We start from the raw sequence: 17,338 nt of genomic DNA on the forward strand, positions 1-17,338 counted from the left end.
TATTTTAACTGCAAATTACAATTTTATGAGCTAAATAAATGAGTGTCATTGGGAAAGTTGTTTACTCAGCAGTACAGAAAGAGACCATCTGACCAGAATTGGGATTTTGCAAGACTCTTAGCCTCAATTTGTCATCTTCTGATTTGATGTCTTATACACATTTTTATGTGTGTGTATAATGTATATATGTATACATATATATATACACACACACAAGCATATCATATGTATGCTTTTCACTTCTTTAATAGCACCTTTTTAATAACTAGGTGTTAAGTAGACTGGCAGGGATTAGAGTTGGAAGGAAGAATAAATCATTCCTGTCTTATGGGATTCGTTTTCCTAGGTACATTGCTAAAAGTCTGATAAAAGTGAGATTAGGGCCCCCAAAACTGTGATCTGGGCTATTTTTCATGGCATAATATTATCCCTGCCACAAATCGTATATTTGTAAGAGTCTGTGTGGTCCTAAGTAAGGCAGAGACAGGAGTTTGTGGAGTACACACAGCTGTTAGTCAGAGAGTGTTAGAAGATTTTGTACCTGCTGGTGGTAGCAATCTTGATCTTTTTTCCTCTGCCTCCTTTATAAAGCTTTTTTTTTTTTTTTTTTTTTTTTACTTCATTCTTCCTCTCTCAAGCTTTCTCACTTAACCCCCAAAACAGCTTGATTCACAGTTGTTTCTGTCCACCTGATCCTACCCCAAATGGAACAGATGAGCCTGGCTGACAAGTGAGTTTTACTTCTGTCTGCAGCATCAGCTCATAACCCTTAGGGTATTTTGCCATCAAATTTTAGTCATATTTATGTGTTGGAACCTAGCTACCCTGAAAAGAGATCCATAAAGGAACCAGACGTGCTTTATTACATGACAAGTATTCCAGGGAATACTAATGGTGGAAGGTAATGCACTGAATCAGAAAAGAAGGGTTTTCCCCAAACTTTGGTACCCAGTGGTTCCTTTTAAAGTTGAAGTTGTGCTCCACGGAGAGGTAATAAAGTCATCTCTCAAGGACTGATACTTTTCTAATTCCAAAATCCTTTCCTCGGTGTATAATAATCAAAAGCAGAGGCCTGCCTTCCTGGACTTCACATTTTTCCTTTTATGGAAAACATTCAGCACTTTCTTGATGGCTTCATGAGCAAATAGTCCTTGAGCCATGACCTGAAGAATTTAGCTGGATGAATTTTTAAAATTAATGAATATTCAACTGTTTTATTCAAGGTTTACAAGAAGAGTGAAAAAAAATTCGGGGGGGTATTCATATAACTATGGAAACCTCGCCGTACTGAGTGAGGGCTGGGAAAAAGAGTCAATGACAGCCAGAAGTCCATTGAAAGAATCTGGGGGACTGCATCTTCCTCATAAACACATTATGGATTGTGGATTCATCTGCTGTGATGGTTAATATCCTCTCACCACTCAATTTCTCTTTTCTCTGGGCTGTTCTCACCTCCATCTTAATTGCAGGTTACATGTTTCTTAAGTGTTTTCTTTTGCTGCTTAGAGATGTGTGTCATGTCTAAGCACTGAGGGTGAAGCACATGTTACTCTTGCCATCTGAAACTGGCCCTGGTATGGGCAGCATTGAGATCAGAGGGCTAATCTCCACCTCTAGTAACCTTCCGCTGAGGCCTACTTGGCTGCTGGTGTTTTGTGTTACAATCCAACAGTCTCCACCATCTCCACAGTTGTGAGATCACTCAGCTTCTTGGAATAGTTTGCTAGTCAAGAGCCAACCTTACCCCTCTATGAGCATCTAGTGGTGAAACTGGATGATGGTTACTCTCAACTCATCATCCTAAGAACCAATGACTGTGCCAAGCATTAAAAGTGCACTCACAAGAATTTAAAATATTCAGAAATTTACTAACAAGGAGTTGATCCTTCTTTACACCTGAATAGGGGATGGCTAAGAAGAAATAAGAAAAGCATCGAAGGTGAAAATGACAGGAAAAGGAAGATTTTAGAGAAGAGTAATTTCTTCTTTTATCTACCACTTTGAGAAAAATCATAAAAACAGCAATTTCCTTTTGAGGATAGAAACTGCTAATTGTACCAGAATCTCTGCATTCCTGATTTTAAATATGTCTGAGATTCTGTTATGCTCTTTTAAGAGAAGGAAGACACAGACACTTTAATACCTTAATTTGAAGAAAAACTATTCTGGAAACAAATTTGGATTCTTGCAATTGAAGAATTAAGTAAAGTGAAGTCCCTTCATCATCCCCAGCATCATTTCCTATACCTTTCTGGAATTTACTAGTATTTGCAATTATAGGCTTAGTTCCCATCTTTAGTTTCAGAGCCAGTTCTCTTTGAAGGATGAAGCTCTTCTTTCTGCCCTCCACTGTGGTTGGAGAGGTGCATTAAGCCCCCTTTCCAAGTATACTGCCCTGAGAAGGAGAGTCATGAGGCTCACCAAAGACAAACCTGAGACTCATTAAGGCAGAATCTCAGTAATTCTCACTGTCCTGCAATGACCCAGTTCTGATCATAGGATTCTATAGCATAAAGGTACTTTGTTGGCTAGCCTCTGTAGAACTTTCCTTCTTTCTCATACCTGTCCTGAGTTCCTTTGTAAAGATTGTAGTCTTCAGAGTCTCCTTATTGCTTTAGCCTGGTTTTACTTTGCTCTTAACAGAGCCCCTTTTGGCAAATGATCTAGACACGTCCCATAACTCAGCTACCTGTCTGATTTTCTGAAGTTTAGTCATTTCCTCTGTTTTCAGACATTGAGCCTGGTCCAACTTCTGAGACCCCTTGCAACATATTAGACTAGATGTTGCAAACTCACATAGAGACCTCTGAATGGAGAGGGCTGGGTAAAAACCAAGGTGGACTGGAAAGAGCGTGCTTCATTTAAAGGAGGTAGTCACAAGTCATATCTAGCTGATAGCTGCAATTTCAAGAGAAAAAAAAATTATCTGAATTTTGGTGTGAAATTTCCTGATTTGAAAATGTTTGTGGCCGGGCATAGCAGCTCACTCCAGTAATCCCAGCACTTTGGGAGACCAAGGCAGGTGGATTGCTTGAGCCCAGGAGTTTGAGACCAGCTGCAGCAACATGGTGAAACCCCATATCTACCAAAAAATATAAAAATTAGGAGGGTGTGGGGAGGCATGCCTGTAGTCCCAGCTACTTAGAAGGCTGAGGTAGGAGGATCGCTTGGGCCTGGGAAGAGGAGGTTGCAGTGAGCCATGATTATACCACTGCACTCCAGCCTGGGCAATAGAGTGAGACCCTGTCTCAAAAAATATATTCACAACTAGTTCTTTTTATTTTTGAAATAACACGTGTGCCAAATAAACTACGTCTGCAGCCTGACCTATGACACCTGACCTATGACTATATATGTGTGATTTCTATTTCAGACCATGTTCTTAAATGCTGGAATAACCCATGTGTCTGTGCTTCTGTCTAGGTGGATAAACCTGTGCTGTCAGTCTTTAAGCCCAGGACATCACCTCACTATCTATTTTAGCCAAATAGATGGTTGGTCTCCAGGACCATCCTGCTTCCCCTGTATTTTCCATCTTGTTGTGTGTTGGGTATCAACATGTTTCCCAAGGGGCATTTCCTTGGCAAACGTGATTTTTCCAGCCCAGGAAATTATTATTAAACAACTCTAGTTTACTAAGTACTGTGATGTTGCTTTAGGATATAAATATCAAATACCTCTAACACATTGCACTTGTTCTCTAGCTGTAGGGAGGACACAACCTAAAGTGATCCTCCAATAAGTAATATCTTTGCATAATCTGCTCCCCTTGAGAATAGGCAAAACCTATGACGGACTTGCTGCTAAGCAGTAGAATATAGCAAAGGTGATGGGATGACAGTTTCTTGATTAGATTGAGTTAAATGGCAGAGGTGGGGGGTATCATAATGCCATGATTGCATTATGTTATAGAAGAGGCCCTTTTAGCAGACTGGAAAAGAAAATCTCCTACTGGCTTTGAAGAAGCAAACCATCATCCTGTGAACTTTCTACACAAAGAGCCATGTAGCAAGGAAATGTGGGCAACCTTTAAGATTGCTAGTAAGAAGTTGAAGGCCCTAGTCATACAATTGCAAGGAAAGGAATTCTTCCAAAAACTTGAATGAGCTTCAAAGTAGATTTTTTTCTGAGTTAAGCCTTCAGATGAGACTACAACCCTGGTCAATACTTTGAATACCACCTGTGAGAACTTGAGCCAGAGGAACCACCTAAGCTGCACCTGGACTCTTGTCCCATGAAAACTCTGAGATAATAAGTGTGTGTGGTTTTAAAGCATTAAATATGTGGTAATTTGTTATGCAGCATTAGAAAATACAAGCAGTTTAGAGCCTACCATGGAAAATGCAATAGCCCATATGACATATAAAACAAGGTGGAGAAGCATTTACTTGCTTGAATTCATTTTAGGAAAAGTACTTGTTTGGGGGGAATAAAAGTAGAGAGACTTTGTTGAATGAGCCCCAGGGCTGCCCCCAAGGCTACTGTACAACCAAAAAGATGATGGTGTTTTTTTATTAAGAGAAAGATGTATGCTTATGGGTATTCCAGAGATCATCAAGATTTTGAGTGCTTCTCCCCCTGGCACATGCTCCCTTGAAGTTTGCATCTCACTCTTGCTTTGCTCTGATCTGTATCACATAGGGAAGATGGCTCTTTGAATCTGCTTCTTGCTGGATACCACTAATAGGAGGCACTGGAAGGAGATTGGAGTGGAAGGGTGATAGGGGAATGAGAGAAGTCAGGGACTGTCTTCTGGTCTTTCTCGAGGTCTGGTGGCATCTGAGGCATGAGACGCAGTTCCAGTTCCAAAGGGAGTGGCCTTCCATTGTTTCTAGAACTTCACTGAGACATATGGTAGCCACTAATACATATATAGTTATAAGTAGCTATACAATGTTAAAATTTTAAAGTTCAGTTCTTCAATCACATTACTCACATATCACTAGAGGCTACCACGTTGAATGATGCAGATATAGATCATTTACATCATTAGAAAAAGTTTTATTGGACAGTACTGTGCTAAAGAGTAATCCGGTCCATGGGCTCTGGTAACACTCCCTCCTGTCTGCCATTCTAGCCTACTGGTCGATGTGGTTGCTTGGTGCTATTAATTGCTATGTTATCTCACTGTCCTCCCTGTTCTCAGCATTTCTATCACCCGTGTAACCAATTCCCTGCATTAAGAGGGAACTGTGTCCTAAATAACCAACTGATTTCTTTTCTGGTCAAACTTTCATTGAGACATCAGAAGAGGAAAGAATAGGATAATCAACATTCCTATATTAGCTACTTATTGTTATATAACAAATTTCTCCCAAACTTAGAAGATTAAAACAACAATTTATTGTTTCATAGTTTCCGTGACTCAAAAATCTGGGTAGCTTGGCCAGGTGCAGCGGCTCATGCCTGTAATCCCAGAACTTTGGGAGGCCAAGGCAGGCAGATCACCTGAGGTCAGAAGTTTGAGACCAGCCTGGCCAACATGGTAAAACACTGTCTCTACTAAAAATACAAAAATTAGCCAGGCATGGTGGCAGGCCCCTGTAATCCCAGCTACTTGGGAGGCTGAGGCAGGAGAATCGCTTGAACCTGGGAGGTAGAAGTTGCAGTGAGCCAAAATTGTGCCACTGCACTCCAGCCTGGGTGAGAGAGTGAGACTCTGTCTCAATAATAATAATAATAATAATAATCATCATCATCATCATCATCATCATCATCATCATCATCATCTGTGTAGCTAGGTGGTTCTAGCTCAAGTTCTTTAATAACATTGCAGTCAAGATTTTAGCAAGGGCTGCAGTCTTATTTGAAGGCTGAACTGGAGGAGGATTTGCTTCCAAGATCACACATGTGGTTGTTGTCAGGCTTCAGTTCCACACTGGCTGTTGGCTGGAACTCCTTGCCATTTGGACTTCTCAATTGATTGCATGAGTGTTGTGTCGCATGGCACTGGATTACCCCAGAACAAGTAATCAAAAAGGGAAAGAAGGAACAGTAAGAGGGAGGCAGAGAGAGATCAAAAAAGAAACTGATAGTGAGAAAATGTTTAAAGTGGAAGATGTCATCTTTTATAATCTAAATTTAGAAATAACATGCCCTCATTTTGACTGCATTTTATTGACTATAGAGATCAATTCTGGTATAGTGTAGAGGAATACATAGAATGAGAAAGCCAGGAGACATAAATCATTAGGGGCCATCGTGGAAACTACCTGCCAGAAGTGCTTGAGAGAGGTGAGTGGGTTTGATGTATAGGGAGATTGTTTAGCCTCTCCATGACTTAAATTGTGAAGGGAAGAAACCACGTAGCAAAAGGGTAAAAGGCTGTCCTGGTATAGAGGAATTTTATGGGAAAACACTAACATTTCTATGATGCTATGTCACTTTTGAACTGTATGCAGCATTCAGAAGACTATTTGATTACTGTTTCCATTTAAATCTAGGACATGATAAAAAGTATAAAGATGTTACAGAATGGTACTTACTTTGGAAAATAATTTGAAATCATTAGCCCACTTAAAATCAAGATTTGGGGCAAATGTCTTAACATTTAGAAGGAATTTTAAAAACATATATGGCTAGTGCAAAGTTGATTATAAACTTTTGGGGAGGCTGGTTCAGGGTTTGCATTCTTGCTTGATGGTTTAGTAGTGGATGCTCAGTAAGCTTCAGGTTGCTCTTGGCTACATAGAAGTTTTCTGCGAGGAAAGATTTAGAAAGCACAAATCTTTATCTGTCAGCTGACAGATTATGAAGTCAGGCGCCTGTGTGGATGAGTTAGGATGAAAGGAGAGAGCAGTTTCATTTCAACTCTAGCCTGTGGTAAGGAGAAGGGGTGGGCTGTTGAATGCCAGCTTGTTCTTTTCTGATGAATATAAACCTAAAGAAGAAAATGGCATTGATACCCATGTGTTCAGCTGTATCACATGCAGTCCTTGTCACTTCATGAATGAGAGACATCCCATCTTCTCTGCAGTCAGTTATGTTTATGTTTAGCTGAACACAGCCTGCCTGGAAAATGGCCCAGTTCAAGAAAATTGTCATTTTGAAGAAAAAGTTACTACACACTATTCACAATAAAGAAGGGAATTTCTAAGAAGCATTTTTATCTTCTTGAAAGCAGGAAGTGACAGAGAATGAGAATGAGAAAGAAAGAGAATTGTAGCCGAAGTAAGCCCAGGATATAATTTTTGAAAACCTAACAAACTTTAGTGAATAGCTTTTTTTAAAAAAAGAAAAAAATTAAATCAAAATGCATTTTTATGTTTGAAAGTTTCAAGCTGTAAAAATAAACCCTGGAAGTAGATTGCCTGGAGTAAGATTTAATTAAACACTGTACAGTAAATTAGCAGAATTTAATGAGGATCAGCTTTAGTTCCTAGAAACTACAATAGGTAGAAATATTCATTTTGTCATATATTTTAAAATTCCACTATCTCATATCCAAACTGTAGTTTTAGAAAATAAAAACTAAACAAAGTATTACCAAGAAGAAGGCAATTTATTAGGGAGATCATGTATTGCTGCTGGGATTTGAGGAGGGTCTTACTTCAAATACTAAAAGTCAGAAGAATGCTTTTTGTAAAACAAAATATATTGAAAGATGAGTTGAATTTTTGAGCCTGAAGCAGAAGGGTTATCTAGTATTATATTAATACTTCCCTAGGCTGTGGCTTAACTAGAATTTCAAGGAGAGCTCTTCCTTCCTTCCTCTTTTCCTCCCTCTCTTTATCCCGTTTTCTCATCTTCATTTATTTTTTCTTGATCTCTTTCTAAACAGAAAGACTACTGTACATCATAGTTGAGAGGTAAAGTTAAAGGAAGACAACCAGTCATACATACAACAAACCTTCCTGGAACATAACTACGTTATTGTTGTTTTACCCCTGCCTATAATTCACCAAGCACATGTCCTCAGTATTACTCAATATGCATCATTTGTTTTGCCTAAGGAACCACCTGTACTCAAGAGTTACAGTGGACTAGAATACATTCACTGGGGGGAAAAAAAAGTTCTCAGACAACTAGGATCCAAAGAAACCTCTCTGATGGGACTTTTTAAAAGTGAAATGAGAGAACTCAAATCACTTTACAGAGGGAGCAATGTGATAGAATGGCTAGACTGTGAATTTGGGGAATTACAAGTGGGTCTTTATTGTGGGTGCATTCTTAGCACTAAGAAGGATGCCTGAAACATAGTTGAGCCTCCCTAAATGTGTGTTGAATAAAATTATGGATGATGCTTTGCACCATGTGTGTGGTTTACATGAGTAAAAAATTAATGCATCCTCATGTGTCTTTCCTTAGTTGTAATAAATTTTAGAAGTAGAGATTTGTCTTTCTGACTTCAAAGATTAAATTCCTGGAAATCCCATAGTGGGAAAAGTAATGATTGAGAAACTTCAAATTGAAAAGAAATCAAGGATGTGAGAGATTTATATGCAAAAACTGTAATGATGAAACAAATTGAAGGCACAAACAAATGGGAAAATATCCCATGCTCATGGACAGGAAAAATTAATATTACTAAAATGTCCATGCTGCCCAAAGCAGTATACAGATTTAACACAATCTTTATCAAAATTCCATTGACATTCTTTACAGAAATAGAAAAAAAATCCGAAAATGTGTATGGAACCAGAAAAAGACCCACAATTTCCAGAGCAATACTAAGAAAAAGTTGGAGGCATCATACTTCCAGATTTAAAATTATGCTACAAAGCTATAGTGATAAAACAGCATAATACGGGCATAGAAACAGAAACACAAACCAATAGAACAGAATAAAAGCCCAGAAATAAGTCCAAACTTATGCAGTCAACTAATTTTTTACAAGGACACCAAAAGGACACAAAAACAATAAATGGTGCTGGGAAAACTGAATTTCCACCTGCAAAAGAATGAAATTAGACTTTTATCTCATACTACACACAAAAATTAACTCAAAATGGGTAAAATACCTAAATTTAAGATCTGAAACTATACAACTCCTAGAAAGAAATAGGGGAAAAGATTCTCTATTTTTTTTTTTTTTTTTTTTTTGAGACGGAGTCTCGCTCTGTCGCCCAGGCCGGACTGCGGACTGCAGTGGCGCAATCTCGGCTCACTGCAAGCTCAGCTTCCCGGGTTCACGCCATTCTCCTGCCTCAGCCTCCCCAGTAGCTGGGACTACAGGCGCCCGCCACCGCGCCCGGCTAATTTTTTGTATTTTTAGTAGAGACGGGGTTTCACCTTGTTAACCAGGATGGTCTCGATCTCCTGACCTCATGATCCACCCGCCTCGGCCTCCCAAAGTGCTGGGATTACAGGCGTGAGCCACCGCGCCCGGCCGAAAAGATTCTTGATATTAGCCTGGCAATGATTTTTTTGGATATCACACCAAAAGATCAGGCTACAAAAACAAAAATAACTAGGACTACATCAAACTAAAAGCTTCTGTGTAGCAAATGAAACAACCAATAAAATGAAAAGGCAGTCTACAGACTTGGAAATCGTAACTGCAATCCACATATTTGAAAGGGGTTAATATCTAAGATTGATAAGGAACTCTTACAACTCAATAGCAGAAAAATAACTCTATTTAAAAATGGGCAAAAGACTCAAACAGATATTTATCCTATTAAGTAAAACAAGATTGACACAGAAGTTAAAGGAAATAGGATTTATTTGGGAAACAAAGAATCAGAACTCAGGTCCACTGAGTAAGGACAGTCCTGAATTGTGTCCTGCAAGGGAAACACAAGTGAGGTATTTTATGGGGGATTTTCGTGAAAAGTTATTTTCAGAGGCGGTTCACTGGCTTGGCAGAAATCTTAAATTGTAAACTATTCTGATTGGTTAGTTAATATACTCTCCGCTGAGAGACACTGAAGGCCAAAGGATACTGACTTTAGTTGTTATTCGTCTATTACAAGCTTGTCCCACCTGCAGCCTTGGGGCCACATGTGTCCCAGGACAGCTTTAAATGCAGACCAACACAAATTTGTAAACTTTCTTGAAACATTATGAGATTTTTGTACGATTTCTTTTTAAGCTCATTAGCTATTGTTAGAGTATTTTACGTGTGGCCCAAGACAATTCTTCCAGTGTGGGCCAGGGAAGCCAAAAGATTGGACACCCGGTCTAGTGAAAATCCTGTGGTTTGACTTTTAGCAGGTGTTAGTTCAATCCTCCCACAATCTCCTGACTCCCCTTAAAAGCATTAGCCTTAATTACTTCATTTTCTTTCACACTCAAAAGAAGATGTAAAAATGGCCAACAGATATATGAAAAGGTGCTCAACGTTACTAATTAAGAAAATACAAGTTAAAGGCACCATGATATATCACCTCACACCAGTAAGGATGACTATTAAAAAGACAAGAGATAACAAATGTTGACAAGAGTGTGGAGAAAAAGGAATGCTAGTGCACTGTTGGGAAGGTATATTGGTGCAGCCATTGTGGACAAGAGTATGAAGCCTCCTTAAAAAATTAAAATTAAAACTACCTTATAACCCAGCAATCCCTGTTCTGGGTATATACCCAAAGGGGATGAAATCACCACCTCAAAAAGATATCTACACTCCATGTTTATTGCAGAATTATTCACAATAGACAAGATATGGAAACAACCTAAATGTTCATGGATGGATGAATTAATGAAGAAATATTCAGCCTTTGAAAAAGGAGGTCCTGCCATTTGCCACAACATGGATGGACCTGGAGGACATTATTCTAAGTGAAATAAGCCAGACACAGAAGGAAAACTTGTGTGATCTCACTTATATGTAGAATTTGTAAAAGAGCTCAAATACACATATATAATGAAATAGTGGTTACCATGGGCAGGGGAATGGGAGTAGGGAGAGGCAATGGGGAGATACAGGTCAAAGGGTACAAAATAGCAGATATGTAGGAAGAGCAAATCTAGACATCTAATGTATAGCATGAAAACTAAAGTTAATAAAATTATACAGTATTAGGGATTTTTGTTCAATGGATTTTAGCTGTCCTTATCAGAAAAAAGTATGAGATGATGTCTTAATCTGCTTCACTGTGGTAACTATTTTAGTGTCTGCATGTATATCCTAATATGTAAATCTCAAATATGCACAATATTTATTCTAAAAAAACAATCAAGATTTTTATTTTATTTTATTTTATTTTGAGACGGAGTCTCACTGTGTAGCCAGGCTGGGGTGCAGTGACGTGATCTTGGCTCACTGCAACCTCTGCCTCCCGGGTCAAGCGATTCTCCTGCCTCAGCCTCCCAAATAGCTGAAACTACATGCGTGCACCACCACGCCCTGCTAATTTTTGTATTTTTAGTAGAGATGGGGTTTCATCATGTTGCTCAGGATGGTCTTGATCTCTTGACCTCATGATCCACCCACCCCGGCCTCCCAAAGTGCTGCTGGGATTGCAGGTGTTAGCCACCGCGCCTGGCCAAAATGTGCACATTTTAAGGTGTTTTCTCCCCTTAGTGTCTAGAATATCTCCTAAATATTGAATGCCTTTTGGATTTCTTTGGAAGTTTATAGCACAAATGTTTTTGGCCACCTCTTTCTATGTCCCTCCTGTAGCCTCTCCTTGGCCTTTAAGATGCAGAATAATGTAGTTGTTGAGATCTTCCTGATATAAATTTATGCCAAGTATACACATCAGCAACAATTGTACATATCACTGCTTTCCTCCTTCCAACAGGTATAAGGACTTAGTTCTCAGTCCTGGGTTTCACTTCACTGCATGCTGCTTTGTGCAATAGTTAGCAAGCATTTTAGGGGACTGGCTAAGCAAAGTTTCCAAAAATAAGAGAAATCTAGAGGCAATGAACTTCTCCAAAATTTTGAAATTAAAAACATCCTCAAAACCCAAGAAGAAACTAGTTTAATTTTGTCAAACATTATACCTAACATATAGGGTATAAAGTTGTTGTTTTGAATTACACATATCATGAGCAGCTTATAAAATTCTTTTTAGTAAGTATCAGTCCCTAAAATCTTAATATGACCCGGATTTAACCTCATCTTTCCTGTCTTTTCTCTTTCCAGATTTTATTAGCAAAATTTCTCCACTGATTATGACTTTTGAGTTACCCCTTCTTCCTCTGTAAACACTGTTTTTTTTCTATTTTTTCTAGTTATCCAAAACTGGAGTAATTGGCAAATCACTTGCACTGGAACTCAAATTCTTGTGGGTTTGCTGAGAAAAGGTTATACAGAAGTAAAACCACATATACTTGAATTTTGCATAAGGGGAACTCCAGGCCAGGGAAAGATTGTGGTTTTGTAGGAAGATCACTCTCACCCTCAAAAAGCCAAGGGCATCTTTTCTTTAAAAGAGTTCCCACTTTGTTTATGTGGGAAATTGTCCAGGGCACAGCAAGTCTCTGGCAGGACTTTGCTGGCCTTTTGCTTTCTAACTGGCTGTTGTAAGCAAAAACAGCCCTCCAGAGTCTCTGTGTTTTGGTGACATGTGCAGCTGCAGTTTTCAGGGGAGGAAAGGGGCAGGAAAGAAAAAGGAGGATATCCTAATTCCTTTCCCACCTGATGTTCTAAAATGTTGAGATTGGGTCCTTACAGCCAGGGGTCATGAACCTAAATAAAGCACAGGGTAGCCAGCAGTGCTAGAATATCCACTCCATTTTCCTTAATTCAGTCTATAAAACAGAAGTATTCTGAAGTCTGTCCATGGATTTGATTTCCTGCAGTCTGAGCTCTACTGAGAGAGAGGTGGTGGAGCTCCTTCCTCTCTGTGGTGTCTCCAGCACCCTATAAATCAGCAGCTGGCTCACAATGTGTGCCTTTATATCCCATGGCCAAATCTCTACTGGCTACTTAAGGATACATTTCTGGGTCTTTGAGATGAGAAACTACACAACAGATGAGTGAATTTTAAGGATCCTATCGGTGTAAAATATATTAGGATTTGAATTAGAATATAATGGGGGTTCAGAACCTAGACTCTAGTCTGACTGCCTGGGTTTCACATTTCAGTACTTACTAGCTGTTGGACCATAGCTACGTTTTTGTGTGTTTGTTTGTTTTTGAGACAGAGTCTGTGTCACCCAGGCTGGAGCACAGTGGTGCAGTTAAGGCTCACAGCAGCCTCAAACTCATGGGCTCAAGCGATCAGCCCCGACCTCAGCCACCTTGAGTGGCTGGGACTATGGGCGTGTACCACCACGTCAGGCTAATTTTTGCATTTTTTGTAGAGACAGGGTTTCACCATGTTGCCTAGGCTGGTCTCGAACTCTTGGGCTCGAGCAATTGGCCTGCCTCAGCCTCCCAAAGTACTGGGATTACAGGTGTGAGCCACTACGGCCAGTTTTTCTTAAAAAAACTTTCCAAGCCTCTGTTTCCTCTTCTATAAAATGGTAATAATAATAGTACCTATCTCTTGGGTTTTTGTGAGGTTTAAAAACATGATTGTTGCAAAGCCTTGGGAACAGTGCTTGGCAATAATAAACAGTAAATTTAAGTGCTGTTGTGCTTGTGGTGGTTCATAATATTGGTATTATTATTATTATTATTATTATTATTATTATTATTATTATTATTGAGATGGAGTTTCACTCTTGTTGACCAAGCTGGAGTGCAATGGCATAATCTTGGCTCACTGTAACCTCTGCCTCCCGGGTTCAAGCAATTCTCCTACCTCAGCCTCCTGATTAGCTGGGATTACAGGCGCACACCACCATGCCTGGCCAATTTTTCGTATTTTTAGTAGAGACAGGGTTTCGCCATGTTGGCCAGGCTTGTCTCAAACTCCTGACCTCAGGTGATCCTCTCACCTCGGCCTCCCAAAATGCTGGGATTACAGACATGAGCCCCTGTGCCTGGCCTGCTATTATTATTGTTATTCTATTGGCGTAACATAGATTAGGTTGTCCAGGAGTAGAGCCTGAGACAAGAATTCTGGTGCAGGTATTTATTGAGGAATTACTCTCAAGGGAAACCTGTAAGGAGTGAGAGAATTAACGTAGGACAAGGAAGAAACTAGGCAAAGATGTAGTTTTAGCAGAGGCCTCACTTCAGCCTGATCCCATGGGGACATCTTGAGTAAGAATTACAGCAAAAGTTGTCCCACTGTAAGACAAGGTGACCAAATTTGTACCCCTGAAACAATTACTCATTGGTTTTAGGTTGCCTCAAGTGCAGAAAGCATAATTCCCAGCACCTTCTGAGGGGTGGGGATGGCCTGGAAGAGGATCTGAGTAAATTAGCTAGAAATAGTAATTAATTAGGAACCAGCAGAAAAAGTCTATGGGTGCATCTCATTCATATAAATATTTCTATTGAAGTAATCATGTGCATGTGTGCCAGAAACCAGAGCACCAAAAGCACACAGGAAAAGCTGAAGGGAGAATCTTTTACAGACTTGCTTTGGGCTCTTTGGATGGAGATTAAATATACTCAGTTTGGATTTTTATTAGTATTTAGAATTTGCAACTTAAGGCTCTTGAACAGCCTCACTGAATCAGAATTAGTGAATGGCTTCTGGACTGGGAACTCTGGTAGAATGATTTATTTGCCTCTATTCCCTTGCTTCTTGTTGCTGTTGCTCAGAAATCATGCGCAGTGGGTTGTTTTAAGGTAGAGTATGCATCATAGTTCCCAGAGTTTGAAACCTGCTATTTTGAGGCATGAGGCTGTTTTCTTTGCTTTGTTTGCTCTCTTTAGGAATGAAAAAAAATTGGATAGTGAGGAGATGCGAACCTGTCACAATTCTTAAAGTGATTGGAATATAAAATAAAATTTTCAAGACTCCTCCCTACCTACTGCTGTGGAACCTCCTTCCTCCTTCAACTTCGGAAGCCATTCATTGAAAGGGACCCTTTCATTGTACACCATGCTGGGCTTAGTTCTTCCATTAAATTCCTTCCCTGTGTTACTTAGAATTGAGGTAGAAAAAAAATATTTCCTTTGCCCTATGAATGTTTGACTCAGTTGAGGAAAGCCCTTTAATTAATGCTTAAATTTTGTAATTAACGTGCTCTACTTAAAAGACCAGTTTAACCTTGGATTCCTGACTCTGGAATTAATGGAAACTTTTGAGCAAAATCTTTTTCAGCCAAAACCTTCCTTATCCATATATGGCTTGTCCACTTTGTAGGCTTTTCTTTATTTAAATTCCAGACTACCCCCACCCACTGCATCTTGACCACTGCTTTCCACTGGCAGTTGGTGACTATTCACAGTGTGCCAAGTAATTTTAACATAAGCCCAATCCATGATCAATGAAGAAAGGAAGTCAGATAAGATAGGAGAAAGCCTCAGTGTTTTCCTAAGCAAATATAAAAGTATGTTTAAGTACATTATGTTTTAGAATATCTATGCCATTGCTTCTTCCCTATTAGTATGTGTTTTCAAGAGTTGGTTGTAGCAAAAGTAGACAAATAGGATTGTATCAAAAAGCTCCTACGCAGCAATAAAAACAATAAACAGAGGAGACAACCTATGAAATAGAAAGTATATTTGCAAAGCATACCTCTAAGATTAATATCCAATTAATTGTCGAATTATTGGGACTAGTCTAGAGGTGAAAACCTCAGTATCCATCGACAGATGAATGGATAAAGAAAATGTACACACACACACACACACACACACACACACACACACACACACACACACACACTGGATTTCTATTCAGCCTTAAAAACAAAGGAAATCTTATGCTGTCATTTAGGACAACGTGGAAGTAACTGGAAGACATTATGCAAAATGAAATAAGCCAAGCACAAAAAGATAAACACTGTATTATCGCATATGTGGAATCAAGAAAAAGTTGAAATCACAAGAGCAGAGGGGATAATGGTGGTTGCCAGAGTCTGGGGAGTGGAGGAAATTGGGAAATGTTGAAACAATAAAAGATTTTAAAAATTTGGTTTTAAATGCTCTACTGGCCATTGGTGAGTTAATGATTCACAAAATACCCTCAGAGAACTCAAGGCTTTAAAAAAAACACACTATGTGGAAGCTTGTAGTACGTGTGTATGTGTATGGTTTTTTAAATGAACTTTTATAATAGTTTTTGATTTGCGTAAAAGTTGCAAAGAAGTTTTCTGAATACCCCATACTCAGTTACCCTATTATTAACATCTTACATTAGTAGGGCATTTTTTATTGTTAATGAATTATTATTTTTAGATGATTATTATCTAAAGTCTATGTTTTATTAGGATTGTTTCCAATGTAATGCCCTCTTTTTTGTCCCAGAATCCCCATTCAGAAGACCACTTCACATTTAGTTATCATGTCTCCTTAGGTTTAGACTGTGGTAGTTTCTCAGACTTTTCTTGTTTTTGACGACCTTGACAGTTTTGAGGATTAGTAGTAGATATTTTGTAGAAGTCCCTTCAACTGGGTTTTGTCTTATTTTTGTTTTCACGATTGAGGTTTTGGATTCTTGGTGGAAAGATCACAGAGGAAAAATGCATTCTCATCACATCATACCAAGAGTATATGCTCTCAACGTGACTTTTCTCTGATGATGTTAAATTCAATCACCTGCCTGAGGTAGGTTTTTCCGCTATAAAATTACTCTTTCTCTCTACCCCAACACCTTTCCATACTATACTCTTTAAAAGGAAGTTACTATGTGCAGCCAACATTTGGAGGTCTTGGGGAAAGGGTGTTGTGCTCCACCAACTGGAGAGGGGGTATCTATATAAATTACTTGGAATTCTTCTGCATGGATATTAGTCTGTTCTTTTCTGTTTATTATTTACTTATTTGTTCATTCATTCTGGTTTAGACTAATGGATATTTATACATTGAGCTCTAACCCAGTATTGTATTATTTCGTTTGTTGCTCAAGTTATTCCAGCTTTGGCCATTGTGGCCATTTTTAGTTGTTCACTGATGTGCTCCTTTGACATACCCCCATCATTTTGTTTTCTGAGCACTTCCTTACTTTCCGGCACTACAGGGAACTGCAGGCTTATTTTAGATATTCCATGCCATACAATCAGCCATTTCTTTAAGGAGCCCTGATTCCTTGTATTGGAGAATGGTATTAGAAACTAAGATCTGGGCACTAGAGGTTCTCATTCCTGCCAGGATGTCATTTTTTAGGCCATTTCAGTCTATCCGGGCTTGAGAAAAAAATACACACGCTAGCATAAATACATGTATCTAAAATTATTTCTGTTAATCCATTTGTGCCTGTATGTAGCTAAATGTGAGCATATATGGATGTAATACTGTAATTCAGTATTACATGGTTTATTTTAACTTCCTCCCCTTGCTTGTCTGTAAATTCCCGTTCCAACAGAGAAAATCTCGGCTCCCACCATCCACCCCTAATTTTATGTTCAATCCAATATACATGTACAGTGGTTTCACAATTGGTAA

This window comes from Homo sapiens, chromosome 3, assembly GCF_000001405.40.
Source record: "Homo sapiens chromosome 3, GRCh38.p14 Primary Assembly".
NCBI lineage: Eukaryota > Metazoa > Chordata > Mammalia > Primates > Hominidae > Homo > Homo sapiens.